Consider the following 22,810-nt stretch of genomic DNA (forward strand, 5'->3'; position numbering starts at 1 on the left):
TACAAGCTCTTTCCATTGTCTCATGTTCCTTTTTCCAGTTATACCCTTACCCCACTCCAGGCCTGAATTCTTATGGAACCAACCAAAACTATTCTAGTAAACCACAAGAATAAACTGATTCCTCATGGATCTGGACAGGGGTGAGAAGGCACTCTATTCTGTGATTCCTTTAACAAAAGCCTAAAATTAAATAATCTGAAACAAGTTTTCTCACAATCTCATTCAATTTCCACGCAGGCCTGTTCATCCCTCTTAGTGGCTGCTCCGGAGTAGTCAACCAAGTGTAATCTGATAGGGACTTCTTCAAAACTTGCTCCGGCCTTCAGAAACACCCTTCTGTCCTGAACGGCCTGAGGCAGCTGAGGCTCCCCCTGCTCACAACACATTTTTCTTCTTAGTTCAAGGTTTAGTTGATCCTGAAATAAGTGGTATGTGGAGATAAAGAGTGTAACAGAGAACACATGAAGCCCACGGGAAAAACAGAACAAATGTCACAAGGATCAGAGAAATCCCTGAAACTCGAGGGAGGTGTCAAAGTTGGAAATCCTGAATGGGAAGGGCACTGTCAAATCTCTCCCCTACAGACAGAAACCTCTAGAAAGTTGGGGGATTGAGGAGGGAGAAAGAGAAGCTAAAGAAAGTTATAGGGATCATAATGCATCCCAGAGAAGAGTGAGGACTAGGTTCAAAGTAAGAATGTAAATGGTACTTTTGGATTGATGACAAGGGCCCGAGATCCCTTAAGGAGAAGGGAACAGGCAATTCTTGGAAGCCAGGAGCTGGCTGGGTAGGTGGGTGACAGTGAGGTAATGGAATCAGAAGCAGCACAGGAAGACAGGGATGCAATCTTTAGCTCAGGGAAATGGGAACCCAGTGCTGGAGTTGCACAGGGACATAGGAGGAAAAGTGCAAACTAGGAAAAGAGATAAAGGTGGAGTCCATGGAAAAGGTTTGGGGCAGGGGCAGAGACGACGAGGAAGGACAAGGATGGGCATTATGGGAGTCGTCTGATATGGAAAGGGTTCATGACTTAAAAAAAAGAATTATTCGAGACGTAGGCAACAGGGATGAGTGAGGGAGGGGGGAATCCCCGAGGCAGAGGGAGGAGCTAATAGAAGAGGAAGCCAAAAAGCGGAGGAGGACCCCAGGCCTGAGAGGAAAGGGTGGAGAAGGAACCCGGGGTGCAGCTGACACCAAGAGGGCAGTTTCGTAGTCGAACTCAGGTGGGGAAGACTGTGCGGGACAGGGTGGGAGAGGGACCCCCCCCCCCACCCAACAGGGCAAAGGTGACTCATGAAGGAGGAGTAGCTTACCTCTGGGGGACCCCCGCGGAGGGGGTGCGGGCAGTCGCGGTTGGACTGCCGACACTGCCGCCTCAGCAGCAGCGACCGCTCCCGGGTTCCATTGGCCGCCTGCGCTTCCCTGACAGCGGCCGCGGAGGCTGCACCAGGCCCCGGCTGCGGGGCTGCCCGCGGCGCCGCCTGAGGGGGCCTTCAGGCTGCCACAAGTTCGACCGGGCCACACAACCTCTTCTTCCTCCCTCAGTACAACCAAGACCAAAAAAATAATAAAATAAAATAAAATTCCCCAGCAGGTCTCGATGTAGTATTCTTCTCCGGAGTCCAAGCCAAGCCTTTCTTCCCAGGATACGCTTTCCTGCTTCCCCAGCGGTCAGGACCCTACCGATTCCATAGTAATCTAAGGAGTCGGGTGAGCTGCCTGGAACATGCCTGTTCAGAAATAGAAAAGGGGGCGGGGAAAAGATGTTTGGAAGCTCTCGAGGGAGAGAGGGCGAAGGGAGGAGCTTACGGGTGGGAGGAGGGGCCAATATTTAAGAAGCGGACCTAAGCGATAGCGTTTGCGAGGCTAAAGAAGCCGAGAGAGAAGTAAAATTTGCTGCATAAGTAGGGTGAGCAGGCGGCCGTGGGTGCCCTGTTAAAGAAGTATGGACATATGCATACTTCCAGAAGTATATTAACATGCAAGTTATATGTAAACGACCGTTTGAGTAACTAACCAAATTACCGTAATTGCAATCAATGACTTTTCCCCCTCCCGTATGCTACAAGACTCCCTTAGTAAATCAGGCCGTGGGATGGACGCTGGGTTCCTAGAAGGGCGCGCAGGAAGACGGCGGACGGGGAAGACGTTCTTTCTGACTGCCCTTTTCCTACTTATCTTGGAGGACGATGCGGAGTTTAAGCTCCTTAACATTTCGGGAATGGCGCGGTCCAACCGCGTCAGTCTTTTCGCCGTTAGAGGCCCGACTCGAGGCCGTGGTTCTGCCTCCGAGGTCACCAACCTGCCTGGGCAGCCTGTGACCTCCAGCATCCATATGCCCAGCCCTCCAGGGAGGGGCTGGACAGGGCCAGGTTGGGAGAGGTGAGTGAAACGACAAAGGCTTGGAGGGCACAATCCCTTCTTCCAAACAAAACGAAACCATATTAGGCCAAACAAATAAACAAAAACACGCCATGCAAATGGGCCTCTGGTGTTGCTTTTGTGTATTTTTCGTTTGTTTGTTTGTTTTGTAAAGACAGGGTCTTGCTATGTTGCCCAAGCTTGTCTCGAACTGTTAGCCTCAAGCAATCTGCCGGCCTCAGGTACCAAAGTGCTGGGATTATAGGCCCGACCTCGCCCAGCAAGTTTTTTGTGTATTTTTCGGTTAAGATTGTTGATTTAGAGCCCTCTTTGTCCTCAGAACCTCTATCTCAATGCCTTTCCTAGGGCTTTACTTAATATGCAATGCCCCTCATTAGTGCCTTACTTAATACATTGAGGCTAGTTATTTGAGCCCGGGTCTTGAATGCCATCTTCCCTGCCACTTACAAGCCGTTTGATTTGGAATAACTAATGTAACCTCTTTAAACCTCAGTTTCTATGTCTACAAAGAAGACATATGGATGAAGTAATATTAGCCCATTACAGGGTTTTGTTAGGATCAAGAGAGTACAAGTTGCTACTATAGTACTTTATTATTAATTATTGGGACAATCATACAGGATAGATGATGAAAGAGTCACTGCTACAATGTTTAATTGGAAGGCAGAATAAAGTGTAATAGCTTGAAAATGCCTGTGTAAAACATGCAGTATATACAACAGTAGAACAAATGGGGTACCTAACCTAATTGCTGAAGGGACATAGTGGAGTTTAAGTTAATTTGGAAGGCCTATATGTGTATGGACACACACACATACACACACACACACACACACACACACACACACACACACCAGTATATGGTGAATGAATGAATGGAAGGCTTCTTAGAAATATTGTGAGTCAGGTCTTAGAATAGATATTGGATATAACCCAGCAAAATAAAAGACAAGCGAGCATTCTGAAAGCAAAAAAATTGTATGTTGAAGAATATAAATGGGAATTTGCTCATATCATGAGGAGAGGGCAAGCAGACAAGCTAGGTTAAAGCAGGAGTACAGTATGAAAGATGAACAAAGAATGGGGACAAGAGTGCCAAAGATAGTTTAAATTTGTCAGCTGGGCACAGTGGCTCACACCTGTAATCCCAGCACTTTGGGAGGCTGAGGTGGGCAGATTGCTTGAGCTCAGGGGTTTGAGACCAGCCTGGGCAACATGGTGAAACCACGTCTCTTCAAAAATACAAAAATTAGCCTAGCTGGCATGGTGGCATGCACCTGTAGTCCCAGCTACTTAGGAGGCTGAGGTAGGAGGATCACTTGAGCCTGGGAGACAGAGGCTGCAGTGAGCCAAGATCATGCCACTGCACTCCAGCCTGGACAACGGAGTGAGACCCTGTCTCAAAAAAAAAAATCGGCTTGGCGTGGTGGCTCACGCCTGTAATCCCAGCACTTTGGGAGTCCGAGGTGGGTGGATCAGTCGAGGTCAGGAGTTTGAGACCAGCCTGACCGACTTGGTGAAACCCTGTCTCTACTAAAAATACAAAAATTAGCTGGGCATGGTGGTGGGTGCCTATAATCCCAGCTACTAGGGAGGGTGAGGCAGGGAATCACTTGAACCTGAGAGGCAGAGGTTGCAGTGAGCCGAGATTGCGCCATTGCACTCCAGCCTGGGCAACAGAGCGAGACTCCATCTCAAAAAAAAAAAAAAAATTCTCACCACTGGTCTGGATTGGGGAGAATCACCAGTCCACATGTTAGGCCCACCAGCTCTTGGCCAGCTTCCAATCAGCTGTCCCGCAAATATCATGAGGCGATGACCCTGCTTTAGCCTAGAGTTTAAAATGTCATGTATCCCCTCAAGGGATAACCTTCCAAACAGCCACAAGACTAGCCTTTTGAAACATTGTAGAAAGACATGTGACAACCTTTTTTATAGTAGGAAGTTTTCTTATTTTCCAATGACAGAAAAAATTTCAGAAACATCTCTTCAAATTTGAAGCAGGAACTTTTTATAGCTAGTCAGTTATAGACCACCCTACTAAAAATACACACACACACAAACATAAGTAGAAGATTTTAAGTTTCCTATTTATAGCTCTAAGGGTTCATATGTATAAATTTCTTTCTTTCTTTTTTTTTTCTTTTTGAGACAGAGTCTCCCTCTGTCGCCCAGGCTGGAGTGCAATGGTGCAATCTTGGCTCAAGGGACCCTCCTCCACCTCCTGGATTCAAGCGATTCTTCTGCCTCAGCCTCCCGAGTAGCTGGGATTACAGGCATGCGTCACCATGCCCAGCTAATTTTTGTATTTTTAGTAGAGACGGGGTTTCACCATGTTGGCCAGGATGGTCTTGATCTCTTGAACTCGTGATCCGCCCGCCTCGGCCTCCTAAAGTGCTGGGATTACAGGCGTGAGCCACTGTGCCTGGCCCATATGTATAAATTTCTTTGCATCCCTTTATGACTGTCTTTCTGCCGTTTTCGGGAGGGTTTCTTTTTTTTTTTTTTATCATCTTCTGTTTTTTGTTTTTGTTTTTTTTGAGACAGGGTCTTGCTTTTTTGCCCAGGCTGGAGTGCAGTGGCGTGATCTCAGCTCACTGCAAACTCTGCCTCCCGAATTCAAGCGATTGTCGTGCTTCAGCCTCCCAAGTAGCTGGGATTACAGGTGCACGCCACCACGCCCAGCTAATTTTTGTATTTTTAGTAGAGATGGGGTTTCACCATGTTGCCCAGGCTGGTCTCGAACTCCCAACCTCAGGTGATCTGCCCACCTTGGCCTCCCAAAACGCTGGGATTATAGGTGTGAGCCACTGTGTCTCTACCAAAATCACAAAAATTAGCGAGACGTGGTAGTATGCACCTGTGGGAAGGCTTAGGCAGGAGAATTGCTTGAACCTGGGAGGTAGAGGTTGCAGTGAGCTGCAATCATGCCACTGCACTCCAGCCTGGGTGACAGAGTGAGACACACACACACACACACATACACACACACACACACAAAGATTGAATGCAGAAGCAGATATGAGAACCCAGTCTGACATTAAAGAAATTTCCCCCTTTAAAAACAATGCCAATTGTCTCATTGATTTTTTTTCTTGTTTCGGAAAATATAGTTATTTTTCAAAAATGATTTAGTTCATATATATATATATATATATTTTATATATATATTTTTTTCTTTTTCTTTTTTTTTTTTTTAATTGAGACAGAGTCTCACTCTGTTGTCCAGGCTGGAGTGCAGTGGTGCCATCTCAGCTCACTGCAACCTCCGCCTCCCGGGTTGGAGCCATTCTCCTGCCTTAGCTTCCTAAGTAGCTGGGATTACAGGCACCCACCACCACACCCAGCTAATTTTTGTTATTTTCGTAGAGACAGTGTTTCACCATGTTGGCCAGGCTGGTCTCAAACTCCTGACCTCAAGTGATCCACCCGTCTCGTCCTCCCAAAGTGCTGGGATTACAGGCATGAGCCACCACACCCGGCCAAAAATATTTTTTAAATAAATATTTTGACTAAGTTATGTTTTCCTCCCCCTGATTTGTCTTTTTTCTCCTCAGTCTCCTTAGTTGTCAAATTGTAAAACTGAATGCCATTCTCTCCCCCCACATTAAATGTAAAAGCATAACATTTGCGGCTGCGTACGGTGGCTCACGCCTGTAATCCCAGCACGTTGGGAGGCTGAAGTGGGTGGATCACCTGAGGTCAGGAGTTCAAGACCAGCTTGGCCAACATGGTGAAACCCTGTCTCTACTAAAAAAAAAAAAAAAAAAAAAATACAAAACAGCCAGGCCTGGTGGTGGGTGCCTGTAATCCCAGCTACTCAGGAGGCTGAGGCAGGGAGAATTATTTAAAACCAGGAGGCAGAGGTTGCAGTGAGCTGAGATTGCATCACTGCACTCCAGCCTGGGTGACGGAGTGAGACTCTGTCTCAAAAAAGAAAAAAAAAAAATAAAAAAGCTTAACATTTGTGATATGCTCTAAAATTTCTCACTTCACCGAATCTGTTTTTAAAAAATTCTTTTGATTAAAAAAAAAAAAATCACTCACCTCTATGTGAGATCCCAAGGAGCCACTATAGATGTAGATGGTTTTGCACTTGGATGATGGGTGACCCTATGGGAACCTATGCTATCCTGTGTACACACGAAGCCTCTAGCTTTGGTAGGAAAGTACGTATATGTTTTGCACATCGAGGTGTGGGGAGGGCAGGAAATTACCAACAGAGTAAGATAATGTCATTTGTTTGTCTTGTTTACAAACTGGGGAAAGAAGTTGGCTTATTCAAAAGTCAGTAAAATACAACTCCAGTTATATCTTTTTTCCTTTTTTTTTTTAAGACTGAGTCTCACTCTGTTGCCCAGGCTGGAGTGCAATGGTGCAATCTTGGCTCACTGCAACCTCTGCTTCCCAGGTTCAAGCAATTCTCCTGCCAAAGCCTCCCAAGTAGCTGCGATTACAGGCATGAGCCACCACTCCCAGCTAATTTTTGTATTTTTAGTAGAGACAGGGTTTCACCATGTTGGCCAGGCTGGTCTCAAACTCCTGGACTCAAGAGATCTGTCTGCCTCGGCCTCCCAAAGTGCTGGGATTACAGGTGTGAGCCACCACACCTAGCCTCCAGTTATATCTTAAACACCCTTGAGTTAAAGAAACTTTTATAAGAGAGTGAATTTTTTTCCTGAACAATATATAGATATTTAGATACATAGGCTTTTTTTCAGGGTAATGAAAAAGAAGCCAGCAGTTATTGCTTGAGCCCCCTACTGTGTATGAATACAAACATTAACTCATTTATTCCTCATTACAAGCAAATGAAACAGATTTTATTCCATTTTAGGGAAACTGAGCTTCAGAATAGTTAAGTCATTGTGGGTTTGTTGTTGAGACAGGGTCTCGCTCTACCCAGGCTGGAGTGTAGTGGTGCCATCTCGGCTCACTGCAGCCTCGATCTCCCAGGCTCAAGTGATCCTTCCACCTCAGCCTCCTGAGTAGCTGGAATTACAGGAGCACAGCACCACGCCCAGTTAATTTTTTGTATTTTTTTGTAGAGATGAGATCTCGCCATGTTGCTGAGGCTGGTCTTAAACTCCTAGGCTCAAGCAATCCTCTGCCTCACCTCCCAGAGTGCTGGGATTACAGGTGTGAGCCACAGAGTCTGGCCTGATTATTCCAGTAAACAAATGCCTCCCTCTGAACTTTTTTACTTTTAGAGATGAGGTCTTGCTCTGTCTCTTAAGGCTGGGGTGTAATGGCACAATCATCGTTCACTTCAGCCTCGAAATCCTGGGCTCAGGCAGTCCTCCCACCTCAGCCTCCCAAGTAGCTAGGACTACAGGTGCATGTCCCATTGCCTGGCTTTATGAACATTTCTTTTCTTTTTTTATTTTGAGACAGGGTCTTGCTCCTCTGTCACCCAGGCTGGAGTGCAGCGGTGCCATCTCAGCTCACTGCAGCCTCCACCTCCTGGGCTCAAGCAGTCCTCCTACTTCAGCCTCCCAAGTAGCTGGGTCCACAGGTGCGTGCCACTATGCCTGGCTAATTTTTTTGTAGAGATGGGGTTTTGCAATGTTGCCCAGGCTGTTCTCGAGCTCTTAGGCTCAAGCAATCCTCCCACCTCAGCCTCCCAAGTAGCTGGAATTACAGGCCTGGCTCCACTGTGCCCAGCCTGAGCATTTTTTTTTTGAGACAGATTCTCCCTCTGTTGCCCAGGCTGGAGTGCAGTGGTGCAATCTCGGCTGACTGTAACCTCCACCTCCCAGGTTGAAGCAATTCTCGTGCCTCAGCCTCCTGAGTAGCTGGGATTACAGGCACACGCCACCATGCCAGGCTAATTTTTTTTTTGTATTTTTAATAGAGGCGAGGTTTTACCACGTTGGCCAGGCTGGTCTTAAACTCCTCACCTCAGGTAATCCGCTTGCCTCAGCCTCCCAGAGTGCTGGGATTACAGGTGTGAGCCACCATGCCCGGCCAACCTGAGCATTTCTATATACTGTGAGATATATGTATCTGTGTTCAGCCAACTCTCTGTATAAAACGCTGAACAGATTTTTCACATAGGATGGAATCAGCAGGGTGTTTTTGGATGAAGAAGTAGTACTACTGAGAAACCACAACATGAAGTAAAACACTTAAGACAAATATACAGTGACATTAATTCCCCCATTTATTATGCTGTGTGAATGTGTAGCATTTGCTTTAATTTCTAAAGAAGGCTGATTATTAGCTACAAAAATAAACAATAGATTCATTTATTTGAGGCCATAGACTACACATATAGAGTTTGCCTTGGTTTAACAGCAAAAGGTTATTTTTTATTTTTATTATTTTTTTGAGATGGAGTTTTGCTCTTGTTGCCCAGGCTGGAGTGCAATGGCGCAATCTCAGCTCACTGCAACCTCCACCTCCCAGGTTCAAGCAATTCTCCTGCCTCAGCCTCCCGAGTAGCTGAGATTACAGGCATGCGCCACCACACCTGGCTAATTTTTTTTTTTGTATTTTTAGTAGAGATGGGGTTTCTCCACGTTGGTCAGGCTGGTCTTGAACTCCTAACCTCCAGTGATCCGCCCACTTTGGCCTCCCAAAGTGCTGGAATTACAGGTGGGAGCCACCGTGCCCGGCTATTATAGCAAAAGTTTATTTTAAATTTTAGTAAATTTATGATAAACTAAAATGAATAATAGAACTGGAAAAGGTAATGGGAGTGGAGAACGGGAAATTGTGGAGAAGGAGAAGAGTGAGGAATGGTAGGAAGGAAGTGGTACTCCCCCAAATCTTAGTTTAGGCCTTCATCTAAAAAACTGAAGATTGCTTAAACTACAGAGGAATAACTTGTTTCATGTTATATATTTTAAAATAGGGTGGAATAGGTTACTTTAAAACCCCGTAACACTCATTAAAATCTCAAAATCATTCAGTGCTGTGGTATTCTAAAGTGAATGGATTCATCCTCAATCTCAGTCATGGTGAGGGCAATATTTATTTGGATGAGTCTTATCTATTCTATCACCAGTGGTTTATTTTACCATATGCCTGTTACCTCTCATCTGTCTGCATCCTGGTCCAGTCCTTCATTTCCTTCCACATGGATAATGGCAACAACTGCCTGGCTCAGTCCTTTAACTCCAGTTTCTCCATCCTTTAATGCAAACTTCATGCCTTTCATTCATTCATTTATTCAACCAACAGATAACTATAATGGTTGTTTATTCTTAGTTTATTTTACTTAATTATTGAGACAGGGTCTTGCTGTGTCACCTAGGCTGTAGTGTAGTGGCACCATCTGGGCTCACTGCAGTCTTTTTGCCCAGGCTGGAGTGCAATGGTGCAATCTCAGCTTACTGCAACCTCCGCCTCCCCCATTCAAGTGATTCTCCTGCCTCAGCCTCCTGAGTAGCTGTGATTACAGGTGCCCCCCCACCAAGCCAGACTAATTTTTTGTGTGTTTTTAGTAGAGATGGGGTTTCACCATGTTGGTCAGGCTGGTCTTGAACTCCTGACCTCAGGTGATCTGCCTGCCTTGGCCTCCCAAAGTGCTGGGATTACAGGCGTGAAACCGTGCCCGGCATTTTTCTTTTTTTTTTAGACGGAGTCTCGCTCTGTAGCCCAGGCTGGAGTACAGTGGTGCCATCTGGGCTCAATGCAACCTCCGCCTCCTGGGTTCAAGCTATTCTCCTCCTTCAGCCTCCTAAGTAGCTGGGATTACAGGTGCCTGGCACCACACACGGCTAATTTTTATATTTTTAGGTTTCACCATGTTGGTCAGGCTGCTCTCGAACTCCTGACCTCAAGTGATCTGCCTGCCTCGGCCTCCCAAAGTGCTGGGATTAGAGGCATGAGCCACCACGCCCGGCCTCTCTGCAGTCTTGAACTCCCAGGCACAAGTGATCCTCCCACCTCAGCCCCCTGAGTACCTGGGACTATAGGCACGTACCACAACGCCTAATTTAAAAAAGCTTTTTTGTAGAGACAGGGTCTCACTATGCTGCTTTAACTCCTGGGTTCAAGTGATTCTCTTGCCTTGGCCTCCTAAAGTACTGGGATTACAGGGATGAACCACCACGCCCAGCCTTCTTCTAGTTTATTTCTCACTATTGTTCATACACATCACGTCTGCCTGACGGATCTCTGGGTTGTACTGCCATGCCACATCCCCACACCCGTTTTTCCTGTAATGTCCTCCTCTTTTTTGCCTATCCAAGCTCTTACTTATCTTAAAGGCCTAACTCAAACTTGCCTTTTCCATGAAGCTTTCACAAATTACTCAGCCCAAACTGATGTCTCTGAATTTACAGCTCTTATGCGGTAAAGTATCACGACTTAGGTCTTTTTGTTTTATGATATGTCTTATGTTGTTTTGTCCTTGCTTTATTAGTTTGACTTGTGCAGCTAACTCCTACTCACATCTACAGGGAAGTCATCTCTGATTCTTGCCTAACACACACGATCTCTCTCTGGGCTCCCACAGCACTCTGTGCTCACTACTTATATAACTCACACCATGCTGTGATCATTTATTTGTCTGTCTCCCCAGCTAGAATGTTTAAAGTTGGGGTCTGAGTAAACCAGCTTCTAACAAATGCCTGACATTTAAAAAACAAGAGGGAAAATATCAAAACCACAGTAAAGGATTCCTACTTCTGGCAGCATGGATAAGAGAAAGTGCTATCCCATTAAAATACAACTAGATCCTAGATAAATTACAGCAAACATACTTTTTAGCACATTGCTGAGTTCATTAGAAAGAGAAATCACTAAAAAAAAAAAAAAAGTACAGGCCGGGCACGGTGGCTCACGCCTGTAATTCCAGCACTTTGGGAGGCTGAGGCACGCGGATCACGAGGTCAGGAGATCGAGACCATCCTGGCTAACACGGTGAAACCCCGTCTCTACTAAAAATAAAAAAAATTAGCCGGGTGTGGTGGCGGGTGCCTGTAGTCCAAGCTACTCGGGAGGCTGAGGCAGGAGAATGGCATGAACCTGGGAAATGGAGGTTGCAGTGAGCCGGGATTGCGCCACTGCACTCCAGCCTGGGCAACAGAGCGAGACTCCATCTCAAAACAAAACAAAATACAAATTTAAAAAAGAAAGTTGAAACCTATATAAAGGAAGAGCAACATGGAGTAGTAGAAGCAGGTTTACCCTGAGGACAAATCCCAGTGTCAGCATTGTGATCATAGTCTAAGCCTTGGGCCTAGGCCAAGGGAAGAGAAGAAAAACCTGCAACTCCTGAATTAAACCTGGACTCTTGAAGGGGCTAACATAGTCCCAGGTTTATGCAAATGCAAATCCTCTCTGGAGGGAAGTATTCCTAATTTAGGTCCTCGGAATTCCCACAGATTAAATTTAACAAAAATGAGTTCAAAACCCCAAATATAAAATAGGCAAGGCACGCTGGCTCACACCTGTAATCCCAACACTTTGGGAGGCCATGGCGGGTGGATAGCTTGAGGCCAGAAGTTCGAGACCAGCCTGGCCAATATTGTGAAACTCCATCTCTACTAAAAAATACAAAATATTAGCCGGGTGTGGTGACATGCACCTGTAATCCCAGCTACTTGGGAGGCTGAGGCAAGAGAATCTCTCGAACCCAGGAGGCAGAGGTTGCAGTGGGCTGAGACTGCACCACTGCGCTCCAACATGGGTGACAGAGCAAGACGCCATCTCAAAACAAAAAACAAAAAAACCCAAAATATAAAGTATACAAGTAAACAAGCTACCATGGACAGGACTCAGCAGAAAACAACAAAATGGATTTAGACATCCAAGATGTTACAGAATATAAAATAACAATCCCAACACATTTCAAAGAATTGGTGTCATAGACACTACATTCTCTGAACACAAATGATTAAGCTAAAAATCAGTATCAAAAAGATACAATTTGGGCCAGGTGCGGTGGCTCATGCCTGTAATCCCAGCACTTTGGGAGGCTGAGGCGGGCGGATCACAAGGTCAGGAGATCGAGACTACCCTGGCTAACACGGTGAAACCCTGTCTCTACTAAAAAACACAAAAAATTAGCTGGGTGTGGTGGCGGGCACCTGTAGTCCCAGCTGCTCCGGAGGCTGAGGCAGGAGAATGGCCTGAACCCGGGAGGTAGGCTTGCAGTGAGCCAAGATCACGCCACTGCACTTCAGCCCAGGCGACAGAGTGAGACTCTGTCTCAAAAAAAAAATACAATTTTAAATCTCCAGATATTTGGAAGTTTATAAAATGTTTCTAAATAGTTCATGAGTCAAAAAGTCATAAAGGTAATTTAAATATTTTTAGAACTAAGTAATAAAAATACAGCACAGAAAAACTTGTGGGATGTAGAGAAACAGGTTATTAAAAACTTAAAATAGTGAAGAAGATAGCCTGAAAATTAATTGGCTAAGTGTCAAAATGAATATGTTGTAAAGGAACATAAAATTAAACCTAAAGAAAGCATAAAAAAGATAGCTATAGATAAGATCCATAATTAATGAAATGGAAAACAAATACATAAGGGAGAGGATCAACAAAGCTCAAAGTAGCATCTGAAGATATATAGGTAAAATAAATTGCTGGTGCAACTGATCAAGACCAAAAAAGGAGGCACAAGTAAACAACAGAAATGAAAAGGAAGATATGCCTATCCACAGAGCAGAGATAAAAAAGAAACAAGGCCAGGAGCAGTGGCTCACGCCTGTAATCCAAGCACTTTGAGAGGCAAAGGCAGGCTGATCACTTGAGATCAGGAGTTTGAGACCAGCCTGACCAACATGGTGAAACCACCTCTCTACTGAAAATACAAGAATTAGCTGGCCGTGGTAGCACACACCTGTAATCCCAGCTACTCCGGAGGCTGAGGCAGGAGAATCGCTTGAACCCGGAAGGCAGAGGTTACAGTGAGCCAAGACTGCGCCACTGCCCTCCAGCCTGGGCGACAGAGCGGGACTCTGTCTCAAAAAAAAAAAAAAAAAAAAAAGAAGAGCCGGGCACGGTGGCTCACGCCTGTAATCCCAGCACTTTGGAAGGCTGAGGCGGGCGGATCACAAGGTCAGGAGTTCGAGACCATCCTGGCTGACACGGTGAAACCCCATCTCTACTAAAAATACAAAAAAAAATTAGCCAGGTGTACGTGGTGCATGCCTGTAGTCCCAGCTACTCGGGAGGCTGAGGCAGGAGAATGGCGTAAAACCCAGGAGGCAGAGCTTGCAGTGAGCCGAGATCACGCCACTGCACTCCAGCCTGGGAGACAGAGCGAGACTCTGTCTCAAAGAAAAAAAAAAAAAAAGAAACTAGAAGAAATATATGCATTTTGTGTTAAAAAAAATACATGAAATGCACAAAACCCTAGAATAATACTTTACCTAAGCTGACTCAAGAAGAATAGAAAGCCCAGTCTATAATTATTAAAGAAATGGAATCAATAGTTAAAATTATTCCCACAAAGAAACATCAATCTCAGATAGCTTTACAGGTGAGTTTTACCAAACTTTCAAGGAACAGTTTGTTTCAATCTGATATAAACTCTTCCAGAGAATAAGACAAGAGGGAACAGTTCCCAACTTAGAGGTTATATAAACCAAAGGACCATGGTAGAAGCCTCTTTAGAAATCTTACTGAAAACAAAGGCACTAACATGTACAAGAATGTTCATAGCAGCAGTTTGAAATAGCAAAATACTGAAAATATCCAAAGATCCATTGATAGGTGAATGGATAAATAACTTGTGGTTTATGAACTTGATAAAATATTATGCAGATGAAAATGAATGAATCATAGCTATCTACAACAGCATGGATGAATCTTAGAAACAATGGTAAGTGAGAAAAAGCAAACTGCAGGGGACTATTAGAGTATAACATAGCTGGGCACAGGTGGCTCATGCCTGTAATCCCAGCGCTTTGGGAGCCCAAGGTGGGCAGATGGCTTGAGCCCAGGAGTTCAAGACCAGCCTGGGCAACATGGTGAAACCCCATCTCTACTAAAAATACAAAACTTCAGGCATGGTGGCAGGCACCTGTAGTCCCAGCTACTAGGGAGGGTGAGGTGGGAGGATTGCTTGAGCCCAGGAAGTGGAGGTTGCAGTGAGCTGAGATCACACCACTGCACTACAGCCTTCACAATAGAGTGAGACTGTGTCTCAAAAAAAAAAAAAAAAAGTATAACATTTTCTGTAAAGCTAAAAAACAAGCAAAATTAAACACATTTTTAAAATTATATATACATATATGGTTAAAAAATATCTATAGCAGATAATAGACACGAAAATTAAGGACAGTGGTTACCGCTAAGAAGAGGCGGGGGACAGGCTAGGGAGGAACACAAACACAATGGTATTTAAAATGTTTTAATGTATATGTGTTATGGGTCATAGGTACTCATTAGTATGCTTCATAATTTATTCACGTTAGATATACTCTTTATAGATATCAAATATTACATATTATAATTTCTTAAAATCTGCTGTGGTGGAAATAAATGAACACATGAAGTCTCCCTGAAAGAAAATCAGTGTTTCTTGGGAAGAACCAAGATTCCCTGACAGAAGCTACCCTATGTAGAGGACAAAGTAGGTCTTCAATAAATATTAGTTGGTTTACTGCTTTTCCCAAGGATACATCTGGAGGGTCTGCATTCCTTTCTCATTGGTGCCGCCTGACCACAGAACTAGCTTTTTCCGTGACATCTAACCTAAACCCCGCAGTCCTAAGTCCTGACACGTATGACAAGATGCTGCCACCTGGTGGATACAGAATAGATTTAATGAAATGGCTAGGAAGTCTTTCACTCTAGTTGGTGGAACTGGCAATAGGGTGAGAGGGAAGCAGGAATGAGAAGACAAAAATTAAGAAACAGGAAAAGGAAGGAGCTCCATCTCTAATATGGAGGTAGAAAAAAAGGGACTATCATCTAAATGAGACTGAAGAGTCCCTAGAGGAGAATGGCTTCCCTCTCCTTCCTTCTGAGACTAGAAACGAGGAAAGAGGCTACAGCTTGTATTGAGGGAAATGCAAGACTGAGGAGAAAAGAAAGCAGGTCTAGCTGATCTCAACTTAGCAAGCTAAAATAAGAGTAGCCTGGTGTTAGCGGCCACCCAAGCAACTCCCTGCTCCTAGTTTCCACTTGGGGAATCCATGTGATTTTGGGGAGGCTGACCCCCACCCTTTTCCCCAAAGGTGTTGTCCATGATATAGAATAAGCAAATTAGCATGTATCATCCTCCTGGCCACAGTGATTGGTCAGGGTGGACATGTGACCCAGGCCTAATCAGTGTGAATATTAGGGCTTTTGCTGAGATTTCTGGTACAAAGATGCCTTCTTTTTCTGATTGGACATAAATGGGGAAAAGTGTAATCTTAGGAATGCTGGCAGCCATTAAGTGGCCCAGACTTAAATGGTCCTACAGAAGATGCAACAGTGAGAAAAAAGTCAGTCCGGTATTTAGAGACATACTGAACTACTGGGTCAAGTCTTCACCTGGAGCCAGCACTACCTATGGACTTTCTAGTTACATGAACCAATAAATCCTTTTTATTTTAAGCCAGTTTGAATTAGGTTTTCTGTGATTTAAAACCAAAAGATCCCTAACCTATATATTCATCATACTTAGCCCATTCCTACCTTCCCACAGGATAGCACAGGGAATACAGGTAAGGTCACTACAGATTTATTGGTTACACTAAAGCCCAGGGTATCAAGCTGAAAAGGTCAGAGGCAGCAACCAGGTACTAAGTAGACTGGGTGACTCAGCTGTCTGTACAGAGGAGAATGGACTTCCTTAGGAAAAGAATAGCCAAATGAGAAGCAAGTGCAAAGAAGGGCCTCTACTAGGCAAAGTTAACGTAGGGATATAAACACTCTTCCCCACAGACCTGTATCATGGGGGTGTTGCTTTTGGGTCTTTATGCTCCTGGGATAAGGAACTTTGAAGCACATGCTCCTTTAAGTCTTTATTACCCTGTGGTGCAGTGTCTACCTCTCCCTTTGCCAAAGGAAAAGCCTCCTTTTGGCTTCTGCTGCCCTTGATGACACTCACTTTTGAGGGGACCAAGGGAATTTTATCTTCTGCTTCTTTGGTATGCTGGGAACCGGGGCCCCTTCCTCCTTTGGAAACAGTACCATCTCCCTGACCCTGGGCAAGTACTGCCCCCTTTTCAGCCTCTCCCATTGGCCCTGGCCTCTCTGCCCCTCCAGCTGAGTTGCCTTCCCCTCCTGAGCCCCATGTCTCCCATGGTAACCTTGAGGACTGGGCAGATTCCATGGCAGCTGCTGACTTGAGAGGGGTAGAATTCCTTTCCCCACTTCCACCTGACTTTTTTCGAGGGCGCCCCCGTTTCCTTTTGGCATCACTTGCTGTATCCTCTATATCCTGCTTTGCTGCTTTAGCTGGTGGAGCCTGCCCACTGGCCTCACTCACAGGTACTTCAGCTGTCCTCTTGACACCCTTGTCATGTGGTCCTTGGTCACCACCTATGCCTACCTCTCTGTTCTCTGTGCCCCGGGGCTGAGTGAGTCCCCCAGGTGGAGCTCGCCCAGGCCCAGGTCCAGGTCCAGGCAAAGCAGGAACAGTTGGTAAGATCATGTTAATGATGGGCACAGCTGCTGGGGGTGCCCCGGCCCTACTAGACAGAGGCAGTGTAGCCACTTTCAGGGCACCTGAAGAAAGCCTGGGGGCCAGAATAGGTGGAGAGACTGGGATTGGCGGAATTAGTGAGCGAGGGGCCCGGGGAAGGAGCAGAGGCAGCCGAGCCACTAGGGCATTAACCTGCAGGTTATTGGCTCCTGGGGCCGAGCTCTCAACTACACTCTTCTTCCGCTCTCCACGTGCGAGAGGACCGGCCCCAGTTCGGGCTTCCAGATCCTTAGGAGGCTAAAAAGTAAAGAGAGGAACACAGTAAGGTGTGAAGAATGAGTATTGGGGGAAACATAGACGCCAGAGGCACAGGAGGTGGAAAAGCAAGGGACCCAATTGGAGAAGGATATACTAAGCCCCCAGCCCAGGACAGCAAAGTCAGGGCCACTGACTTCCTTACCTGGGCCAGTCTCTCTGGCTTCTTGTGGGCTCCACCCTCTGGGTTCTCTAAACCATTCTTTGGTTTAGATGACCGTTCCCGAGGTGCATGTTCGTCCTCTTCTGCAGAGGTACCAAAAAGGTAATAGAGTGAAGGTGAGGAGGAAACTGAGGAATAGGGGAGTGAGGCAATTCTGATTGACTGACTGGTAGAGACAGGAAATGGGGTGCTAAAGCATGTCTTAGAAGGGTCTCCAGGAAGAGGGGGCAAATCCAAGGTGTCTCTATTCTAGTGTGTGGGAGGGCCACTGAAGCTGAAAGTGGCTCAGGGTTGCTGAGACATAAGAGAGGGTCAACACACCAGCGAGCCCCATGGCCTTAAGCACATGGGCATGTGCAGATCGGGCAGAGATGAGATGCTGCTGTAGCAGGAAGCGGGCGACCTCAACGATGGAACTGAAGGACCGTTTCAGGATCCGCTCTGCCCAGTCACAGGTCAGGGCACACGCTGCCTCCACCAGTTCATCTCGAGGTGCTGGGGTTACTTCTGGGCCCATTTCTGGCTGAAGTGGGGAAGGACATGCCCAATCACACTCCAAATTAAAGAACCCTTGCCTCCTCTCTTGTCAGAGATCAAAGACTATTGACCAAAGCTGAGACCAGACTGGGGATGGGAGTAGCCTCTACCTATCCCATTGCAGAAGCCCACAAGTTCTCTTCATCCTCTGCCTCAGCTACAGGGTTGGCAGAAGGGAACATCATACCTAGAAGCTATGTACATAATGACTGAGGCTGTTAGCCCTCAAAACATGCCCCAAAGACCTCTGACTTTTACCTGGGAGAGAAGAGTGGAATTGGAAGGTGATTTGGTACTTACACTCTCAGAACCCTTTAGGTCAAGTCCAGGCAGGGGTGGCATAGACACCAAGGTCTTCCTCCTTATGCCACTGTAGCAATATCTGATGCAAGTTAAAGAGCAGCCAACACATGGCGATCTCCAAGCCCCTCGAGCAAGTTAAGCTGTTCCACTCCTTGCTCTCCACATCCTAAGTCTTCCTCCCAGGTCCTCCACCCCCAACCTCTCTAGTCAAGGATACTTGGACTGGCCCCGGCCACCAAGCCTTCGAGCTTTGATGTCAGGGAAGATCTCTCTGATGATCTTGCCAAAGTTGGCTGTGCTGAGTGGGCGGCAACAGGCAAGACTCTCACAGTACTTCCTGAGTGAGAGGGGAGCAGAGTGGGAAGATACTCAGAGAAGGAGGCCATGGGTAGGCTCGAAGAGTCCCTAGGGATCAAGTGTGAGGAACCCTTTAAGAAGGCAGGCTTTATCAAGGCAGGAAGCTCTTCATGGGTGAGGGGGTCCTATGCCCACCAATCCACTCATCCCACCACCCACCCCTCCACCCACCGATAGGCATCATAAACACTTTGCTTTGGCAGACAGGTGTCAGTGTGCTCTTCCAGGTGGTTGCGGATCCACCTATAGGCATACATGTACTCCTCATTGCTCAGTGTACTTGGCTCTGAGCTACAGAAACAAAAGGAACAAGCATTACTAAGACCCTAACAGTTGTCCTGGTTCTTCCCAAACTACCACTTCAGTAGTGCTGGACCAAATTTAGTTCACCCAGAATCTAACTTTCCCTGGTAAACCAAGTCAGGGCGAGGACCTTTCCTCTTCATCAAGGACAGCATTTACGAGTATTCCTATTCACCTCACCCCTTCCCAGTGAACCTTTCTCTAAGAATCAGAACCTCTGCCATCTAAAACTACTATCAAACCTACCTTTTGTCTCCAGTGGTGGGTCCTGAGGGGAGCTGAAGGTAGAGATACAGCTTGTCATTGTCAGAAAATTTCTGTACATCTTGCTGAGGTAGGAGAGAACAGAGGCAGGAGAAATAATAAGGCCAAGAAGGACCCAATATAGGACCCTCTGATCCCCACACCAAAGTCTAGCTGACTTACAGGGTGTCAGACTGAAAAAGGACCTTAGAAATTATTTGACAAGGCCGGGCACGGTGGCTCACGCCTACAATCCCAGCACTTTGGAAGGCCAAGGCAGGCTGATCACAAGGTCAGGAGATCGAGACCATCCTGGCTAACATGGTGAAACCCCGTTTCTACTAAAAATACAAAAAAAAATTAGCTGGGTGTGGTGACGGGCGCCTGTAGTCCCAGCTACTTGGGAGGCTGAGGCAGGAGAATGGCGTGAACCTGGGAGGCGGAGCTTGCAGTGAGCCGAGATTGCGCCACTGCACTCCAGCCTAGGCGACAGAGTGAGACTCCATCTCAAAAAAAAAAAAAAAAAAGAAAGAAATTATTTGATGCTAGGTGCTCTGAGGAGCCCTATAGGCTACCATGGAGAGGAGGGAAGTAGAGGGGATCAGCTCTGACTTCATCTCTGCTGGGCTTCTATGCAAGTGCTCACAGAGATCAAGTGAGAGGCACAAAGTCAAACTGGCAGCAAGTTTGCAAAGCCAACTATCTTCTGACAAGGCAGAGGACCCTACCTCTCCCACATCAATGTTTTGTTGATGCCCATCATCCTCACATCCTCCTCCCTCAGCATTTCCATCCCTCTCTTGCCCTCTTCCCCAACACACTTACCAGGATCCCCTCTACTTTGTTCTGCACGGCCTTGCTGTGGGGAAGAGGAGAAAGCTGGAGGTCACACACAAGATTTTCCCTGTCTCTTTATCTGACTGCTAGGGAGGGAAAAGGACTGAAATGCCCAGCAGGTGCTCAAGAATTGCTACCATGGCCAAAAATCTCCCTCTGCTCCCATGCCCTTGCTGAGAGGCAGTTCATCTACAGCCAAAGTGAAGTGCTGCAGGGATCTATACTCAGGTCTTGGACAGGACTTGGAGATGTGATGAGTACTTACGAAATGGTACCTCGGAGCCTCTGAAGAAGGGTGGTAGGTTCCCCAGCCTCAGCACCACCTGGGGGGGCCCTTCCCCCAGTCTTGGGGCTCTTAGCATCAGGCTCATCTTCTGCCATCCCGGCATGAGGGCTAGAATTGAGAGGGACAGGCATAAAGATGTAACTCACACTGGCCTTCCCTTCCCCAGAAGGCCCCAGGGCACTCCTCATCTCTTTACCCAGAAAGGCAGAGAAACAGAAACAAAGCCTCCGAATTTCCCCGGTGGTCTTTTTCTCACCACTTGCCTTCTCCGAAAATTAGAAATTATTCCATTACTTCGCCAGGCCCATATATGCCCAAAGAGATCTTTGCCATCTCCATTCTATCTGCCCCACCTTTCTGAAGTCTCCTAAATCTGGAAAACTGTAAAGGAAGAGATAGGGGGATTGGGAATCCATGTTAGCAAGAAATTTTCATTTCTGCCTCTGACCCCATACTGCCCTCCTCCCCCTCAAAAACAACAATAACAGCCACAAAACAAAGTTCTCTAATTCTCAAAAATACTCCTCACCATTGCATATGCCTGGGAGGTCAGAAAGGATACGAACATATTCTGCCCTTCTAGGCTTGGAAAAAAAACTGGGCCCAAGTTCTCATTACTTAATCTCGCCACGACTTCCCCCGCTGCTCCCCCTCCCCACGTCGCCGGCCCCTACGTCATCTCCCACAACAGCCCATCCTGAGGCGCGCCCCCACCTCCTTCCCTTCCCCCTCCATTCAATCCCCGGTTTCTGCAAAGTGGAGCGGGGGTGGGGCGGGGTAGCGGAACTCATGCGCTGGGCGTCAGAAACCCGGCAGGGGAATGGGGTCCCAGATTCCGGGCACGTGCACATGGGTGAAGAAGCTGTTGAAAATACAGCTACAATCTTTTTCTGCTCTCCTCCCAACTCATCTTGCCCCTCCCTACCTCTGAACAGTCGCCTTCCAACACAAGCAACAATAAAGGTAAGGGAGAAAGAGAAACTACCTCGTAGCCACCTTCACTCCAGCCCAGCCCCAAGGTCCTGGCCCAGCCGGCTCGTGCGTTGCTTTATTTTCCTTTTTCTGAATGGTTGTAACAGCCGCGATCTGCCTAGATACACGGGCGGCCTGCTCTGTCATTGGTCACTGCTGCCACCCGGAGACAGAAGGCGCCGGGCTCGTACCGGCGGCCGCTGAAGTCTGCCTGGTAACAGAATCTGATTGGTCAATAGGGGAGGGAAAATCCAAAGTTGGTCTTATTTGAGTCAAGAGGGGGAAGTCCGGGTTGGGTTTCGGTTAAAACTGGGGTCGGTTGGGACTGCAGGTCCCAAGAGGTTCTTCTCTTAAAGGGACCGCAGGATGAAAGAACGGGCGCTCGGCTCCCTTTGGAACTGTCTTTTCTTTTGCCCTCCCCTTTTGTGTTTCAGTTTAGTCTACGGTCCTCAGAGCTGCCGGAAGAGAAGAATCAATGGATGATAAAATAACTAGACAATGATGGGTAGGAGTGATGGAAGTTCACTGTAAGCTCCTATAACCCCCCATCACCATCACCACATGCCTAATACAACCTGCAGACACACTTACTCGCAACAGACCTGCAATCTGGGCTCTCTTTTCCTTCTTGATGGAGGCCTCAAAACCTCAGCAGTTGTACCCATTAAACTAAAATGCTTTTTCCCTCTTAGTATTTCTTGGTTTCCCGTGTGTACTTTACTTCCAAAGAGTTGCAAATGCATTTGCATCCCCATAGTTCTGCAGTCGGTGAACCCTGGAATTTTGATGGACTCCCACGGGGGTGCTGGATGCCACAGGAACTTTTTACACTCAGGGAACATTGTACTGAATAGGTCATGGGTTCTTAACCCTCTTACTTAAGACATTTTAAGGTTATGAATCAGACAAAAGCAATGGACCCTCTACCATGAAAAATGCACACAGAGACCAAGTTTTGCATCTAATTTCAGAGAGGTCATGGACTCCAGGTTGAAAGCCTCTTACATGGATGTATTTTGTTTTGCGCAGCGGTCATGTTACAACCAAAACTGTATTTGCCATCCTGACATCTAATATGTTCTCCAGGCTCATCATTAATGTGCTTTTGTAAAGAAGACAGTAGTGCTGCCTGAGCTCATCACCATTGCCCTTTACAGCCTACCTTTCCCTATTATCAGCTTCTATGAGTGCTGGGGGAACCCAGGAGATTGTGGAGTTGGGGCAATAAGGATATATTGGCAAGAGGTTTTCTTTTTTCTTTCTTTCTTTCTTTTTTTTTTTTCTTTGAGACGGAGTCTCGCTCTGTTGCCCAGGCTGGAGTGCAATGGCACGATCTTGGCTCACTGCAACCTCCGCCTCCTGGGTTCAAGCGATTCTCCTGCCTCACCCTCCCGAGTAACTGGGTTTACAGACGTGCATCACCACGCCCAGATAATTTTTGTGTTTTTAGTAGAGACGGAGTTTCACCATGTTGGTCAGGCTGGTCTCAAACTCCTGACTTCAGGTGATCCACCTGCCTTGGCCTCCCAAAGTGCTGGGATTACAGGTGTGAGCCACTGCACCTGGCCAG

At 46.6% G+C, this 22,810-nt stretch overlaps 2 protein-coding genes and 1 long non-coding RNA gene across 28 annotated transcripts in view, besides 8 other annotated features; 1 reads left to right on the forward strand and 2 right to left on the reverse strand.

The window, feature by feature from the left end:
• The window catches only part of PI4KB (phosphatidylinositol 4-kinase beta), a 35,919-nt gene extending 34,161 nt beyond the window's left edge, over positions 1–1,758 (reverse strand). For 3 of the 14 annotated variants that reach the window (NM_002651.4, NM_001198773.3, NM_001330721.2), the window contains exons 1-2: positions 1,314–1,459; positions 215–416 (exon numbers count right to left, since the gene is read on the reverse strand). In NM_002651.4, the coding sequence (NP_002642.1) occupies positions 215–222 (8 nt within the window). In that variant the 5' untranslated portion in view covers positions 223–416; positions 1,314–1,459. Of the gene's footprint in view, positions 1–214; positions 417–1,313 lie in introns of all 14 variants that reach the window. The other 11 variants (NM_001198775.3, NM_001198774.2, NM_001369623.2 and 8 more) reach the window with 6 other exon arrangements.
• Positions 967–1,891: an enhancer, noted in NCBI's record as "H3K27ac-H3K4me1 hESC enhancer chr1:151299400-151300324 (GRCh37/hg19 assembly coordinates)". NCBI's record gives its function as "activates a minimal SCP1, AML or CMV promoter by ChIP-STARR-seq in primed H9 embryonic stem cells {active_cell/tissue: H9 hESC(primed)}" and the evidence as "EXISTENCE:reporter gene assay evidence [ECO:0000049][PMID:30033119]".
• Positions 967–1,896: a biological region, named in NCBI's record as "H3K27ac-H3K4me1 hESC enhancer GRCh37_chr1:151299400-151300324".
• Positions 1,827–1,896: a silencer, noted in NCBI's record as "silent region_1319". NCBI's record gives its function as "represses an Ori minimal core promoter by ATAC-STARR-seq in GM12878 lymphoblastoid cells {active_cell/tissue: GM12878}" and the evidence as "EXISTENCE:reporter gene assay evidence [ECO:0000049][PMID:35858748]".
• Positions 14,683–21,295, reverse strand: RFX5 (regulatory factor X5). Of its 13 annotated transcripts, none has more exons than NM_001025603.2 (11): positions 21,254–21,295; positions 20,532–20,649; positions 20,248–20,376; positions 19,971–20,004; positions 19,149–19,231; positions 18,771–18,890; positions 18,460–18,579; positions 18,240–18,321; positions 17,724–17,925; positions 17,385–17,485; positions 14,683–17,221 (listed from the first exon to the last, which is right to left on the reverse strand). In NM_001025603.2, the coding sequence occupies exons 3-11, from the start codon at positions 20,361–20,363 to the stop codon at positions 16,229–16,231; spliced, it is 1,851 nt and encodes a 616-aa protein (NP_001020774.1). In that variant the 5' UTR covers positions 20,364–20,376; positions 20,532–20,649; positions 21,254–21,295; the 3' UTR covers positions 14,683–16,228. The 13 variants fall into 13 exon arrangements, with proteins under 13 accessions (NP_001020774.1, NP_000440.1, NP_001366342.1 ...); NM_000449.4 differs by having other exon boundaries at positions 20,525–20,649; NM_001379413.1 differs by having other exon boundaries at positions 20,465–20,649.
• Positions 16,962–17,462: an enhancer, noted in NCBI's record as "H3K4me1 hESC enhancer chr1:151315395-151315895 (GRCh37/hg19 assembly coordinates)". NCBI's record gives its function as "activates a minimal SCP1, AML or CMV promoter by ChIP-STARR-seq in naive H9 embryonic stem cells {active_cell/tissue: H9 hESC(naive)}" and the evidence as "EXISTENCE:reporter gene assay evidence [ECO:0000049][PMID:30033119]".
• Positions 20,128–20,217: an enhancer, noted in NCBI's record as "active region_1718". NCBI's record gives its function as "activates an Ori minimal core promoter by ATAC-STARR-seq in GM12878 lymphoblastoid cells {active_cell/tissue: GM12878}" and the evidence as "EXISTENCE:reporter gene assay evidence [ECO:0000049][PMID:35858748]".
• Positions 20,557–21,756: an enhancer, noted in NCBI's record as "MED14-independent group 3 enhancer chr1:151318990-151320189 (GRCh37/hg19 assembly coordinates)". NCBI's record gives its function as "activates an origin of replication core promoter dependent on BRD2, BRD4, P300/CBP and CDK7 cofactors, and independent of MED14, by STARR-seq in HCT116 cells {active_cell/tissue: HCT116}" and the evidence as "EXISTENCE:reporter gene assay evidence [ECO:0000049][PMID:35650434]".
• Positions 20,811–21,393: an enhancer, noted in NCBI's record as "H3K27ac hESC enhancer chr1:151319244-151319826 (GRCh37/hg19 assembly coordinates)". NCBI's record gives its function as "activates a minimal SCP1, AML or CMV promoter by ChIP-STARR-seq in naive H9 embryonic stem cells {active_cell/tissue: H9 hESC(naive)}" and the evidence as "EXISTENCE:reporter gene assay evidence [ECO:0000049][PMID:30033119]".
• Positions 21,053–21,934, forward strand: RFX5-AS1 (RFX5 antisense RNA 1). Its single transcript, NR_131972.1, has 2 exons — positions 21,053–21,231; positions 21,675–21,934. It is a non-coding gene; the product is annotated as an RFX5 antisense RNA 1 (long non-coding RNA).
• Positions 21,360–21,709: an enhancer, noted in NCBI's record as "active region_1719". NCBI's record gives its function as "activates an Ori minimal core promoter by ATAC-STARR-seq in GM12878 lymphoblastoid cells {active_cell/tissue: GM12878}" and the evidence as "EXISTENCE:reporter gene assay evidence [ECO:0000049][PMID:35858748]".

The sequence above is a fragment of the Homo sapiens genome, chromosome 1 (assembly GCF_000001405.40).
Source record: "Homo sapiens chromosome 1, GRCh38.p14 Primary Assembly".
Lineage (NCBI taxonomy): Eukaryota > Metazoa > Chordata > Mammalia > Primates > Hominidae > Homo > Homo sapiens.

Bases quoted from the DNA above. Each gene is read 5' to 3' on its own strand.
- RFX5 (NM_001025603.2), bottom strand. From the start codon at position 20,363: ATGGCAGAAGATGAGCCTGATGCTAAGAGCCCCAAGACTGGGGGAAGG. The intron at 18,891-19,148 runs GTAGGTTTGATA...TTGTTTCTGTAG, and splicing joins CCCACCACTGGAGACAAAAG to CTCAGAGCCAAGTACACTGA. The intron at 17,926-18,239 runs GTAAGTACCAAA...TCCCCACTTCAG, and splicing joins ACCTAAAGGGTTCTGAGAGT to CCAGAAATGGGCCCAGAAGT.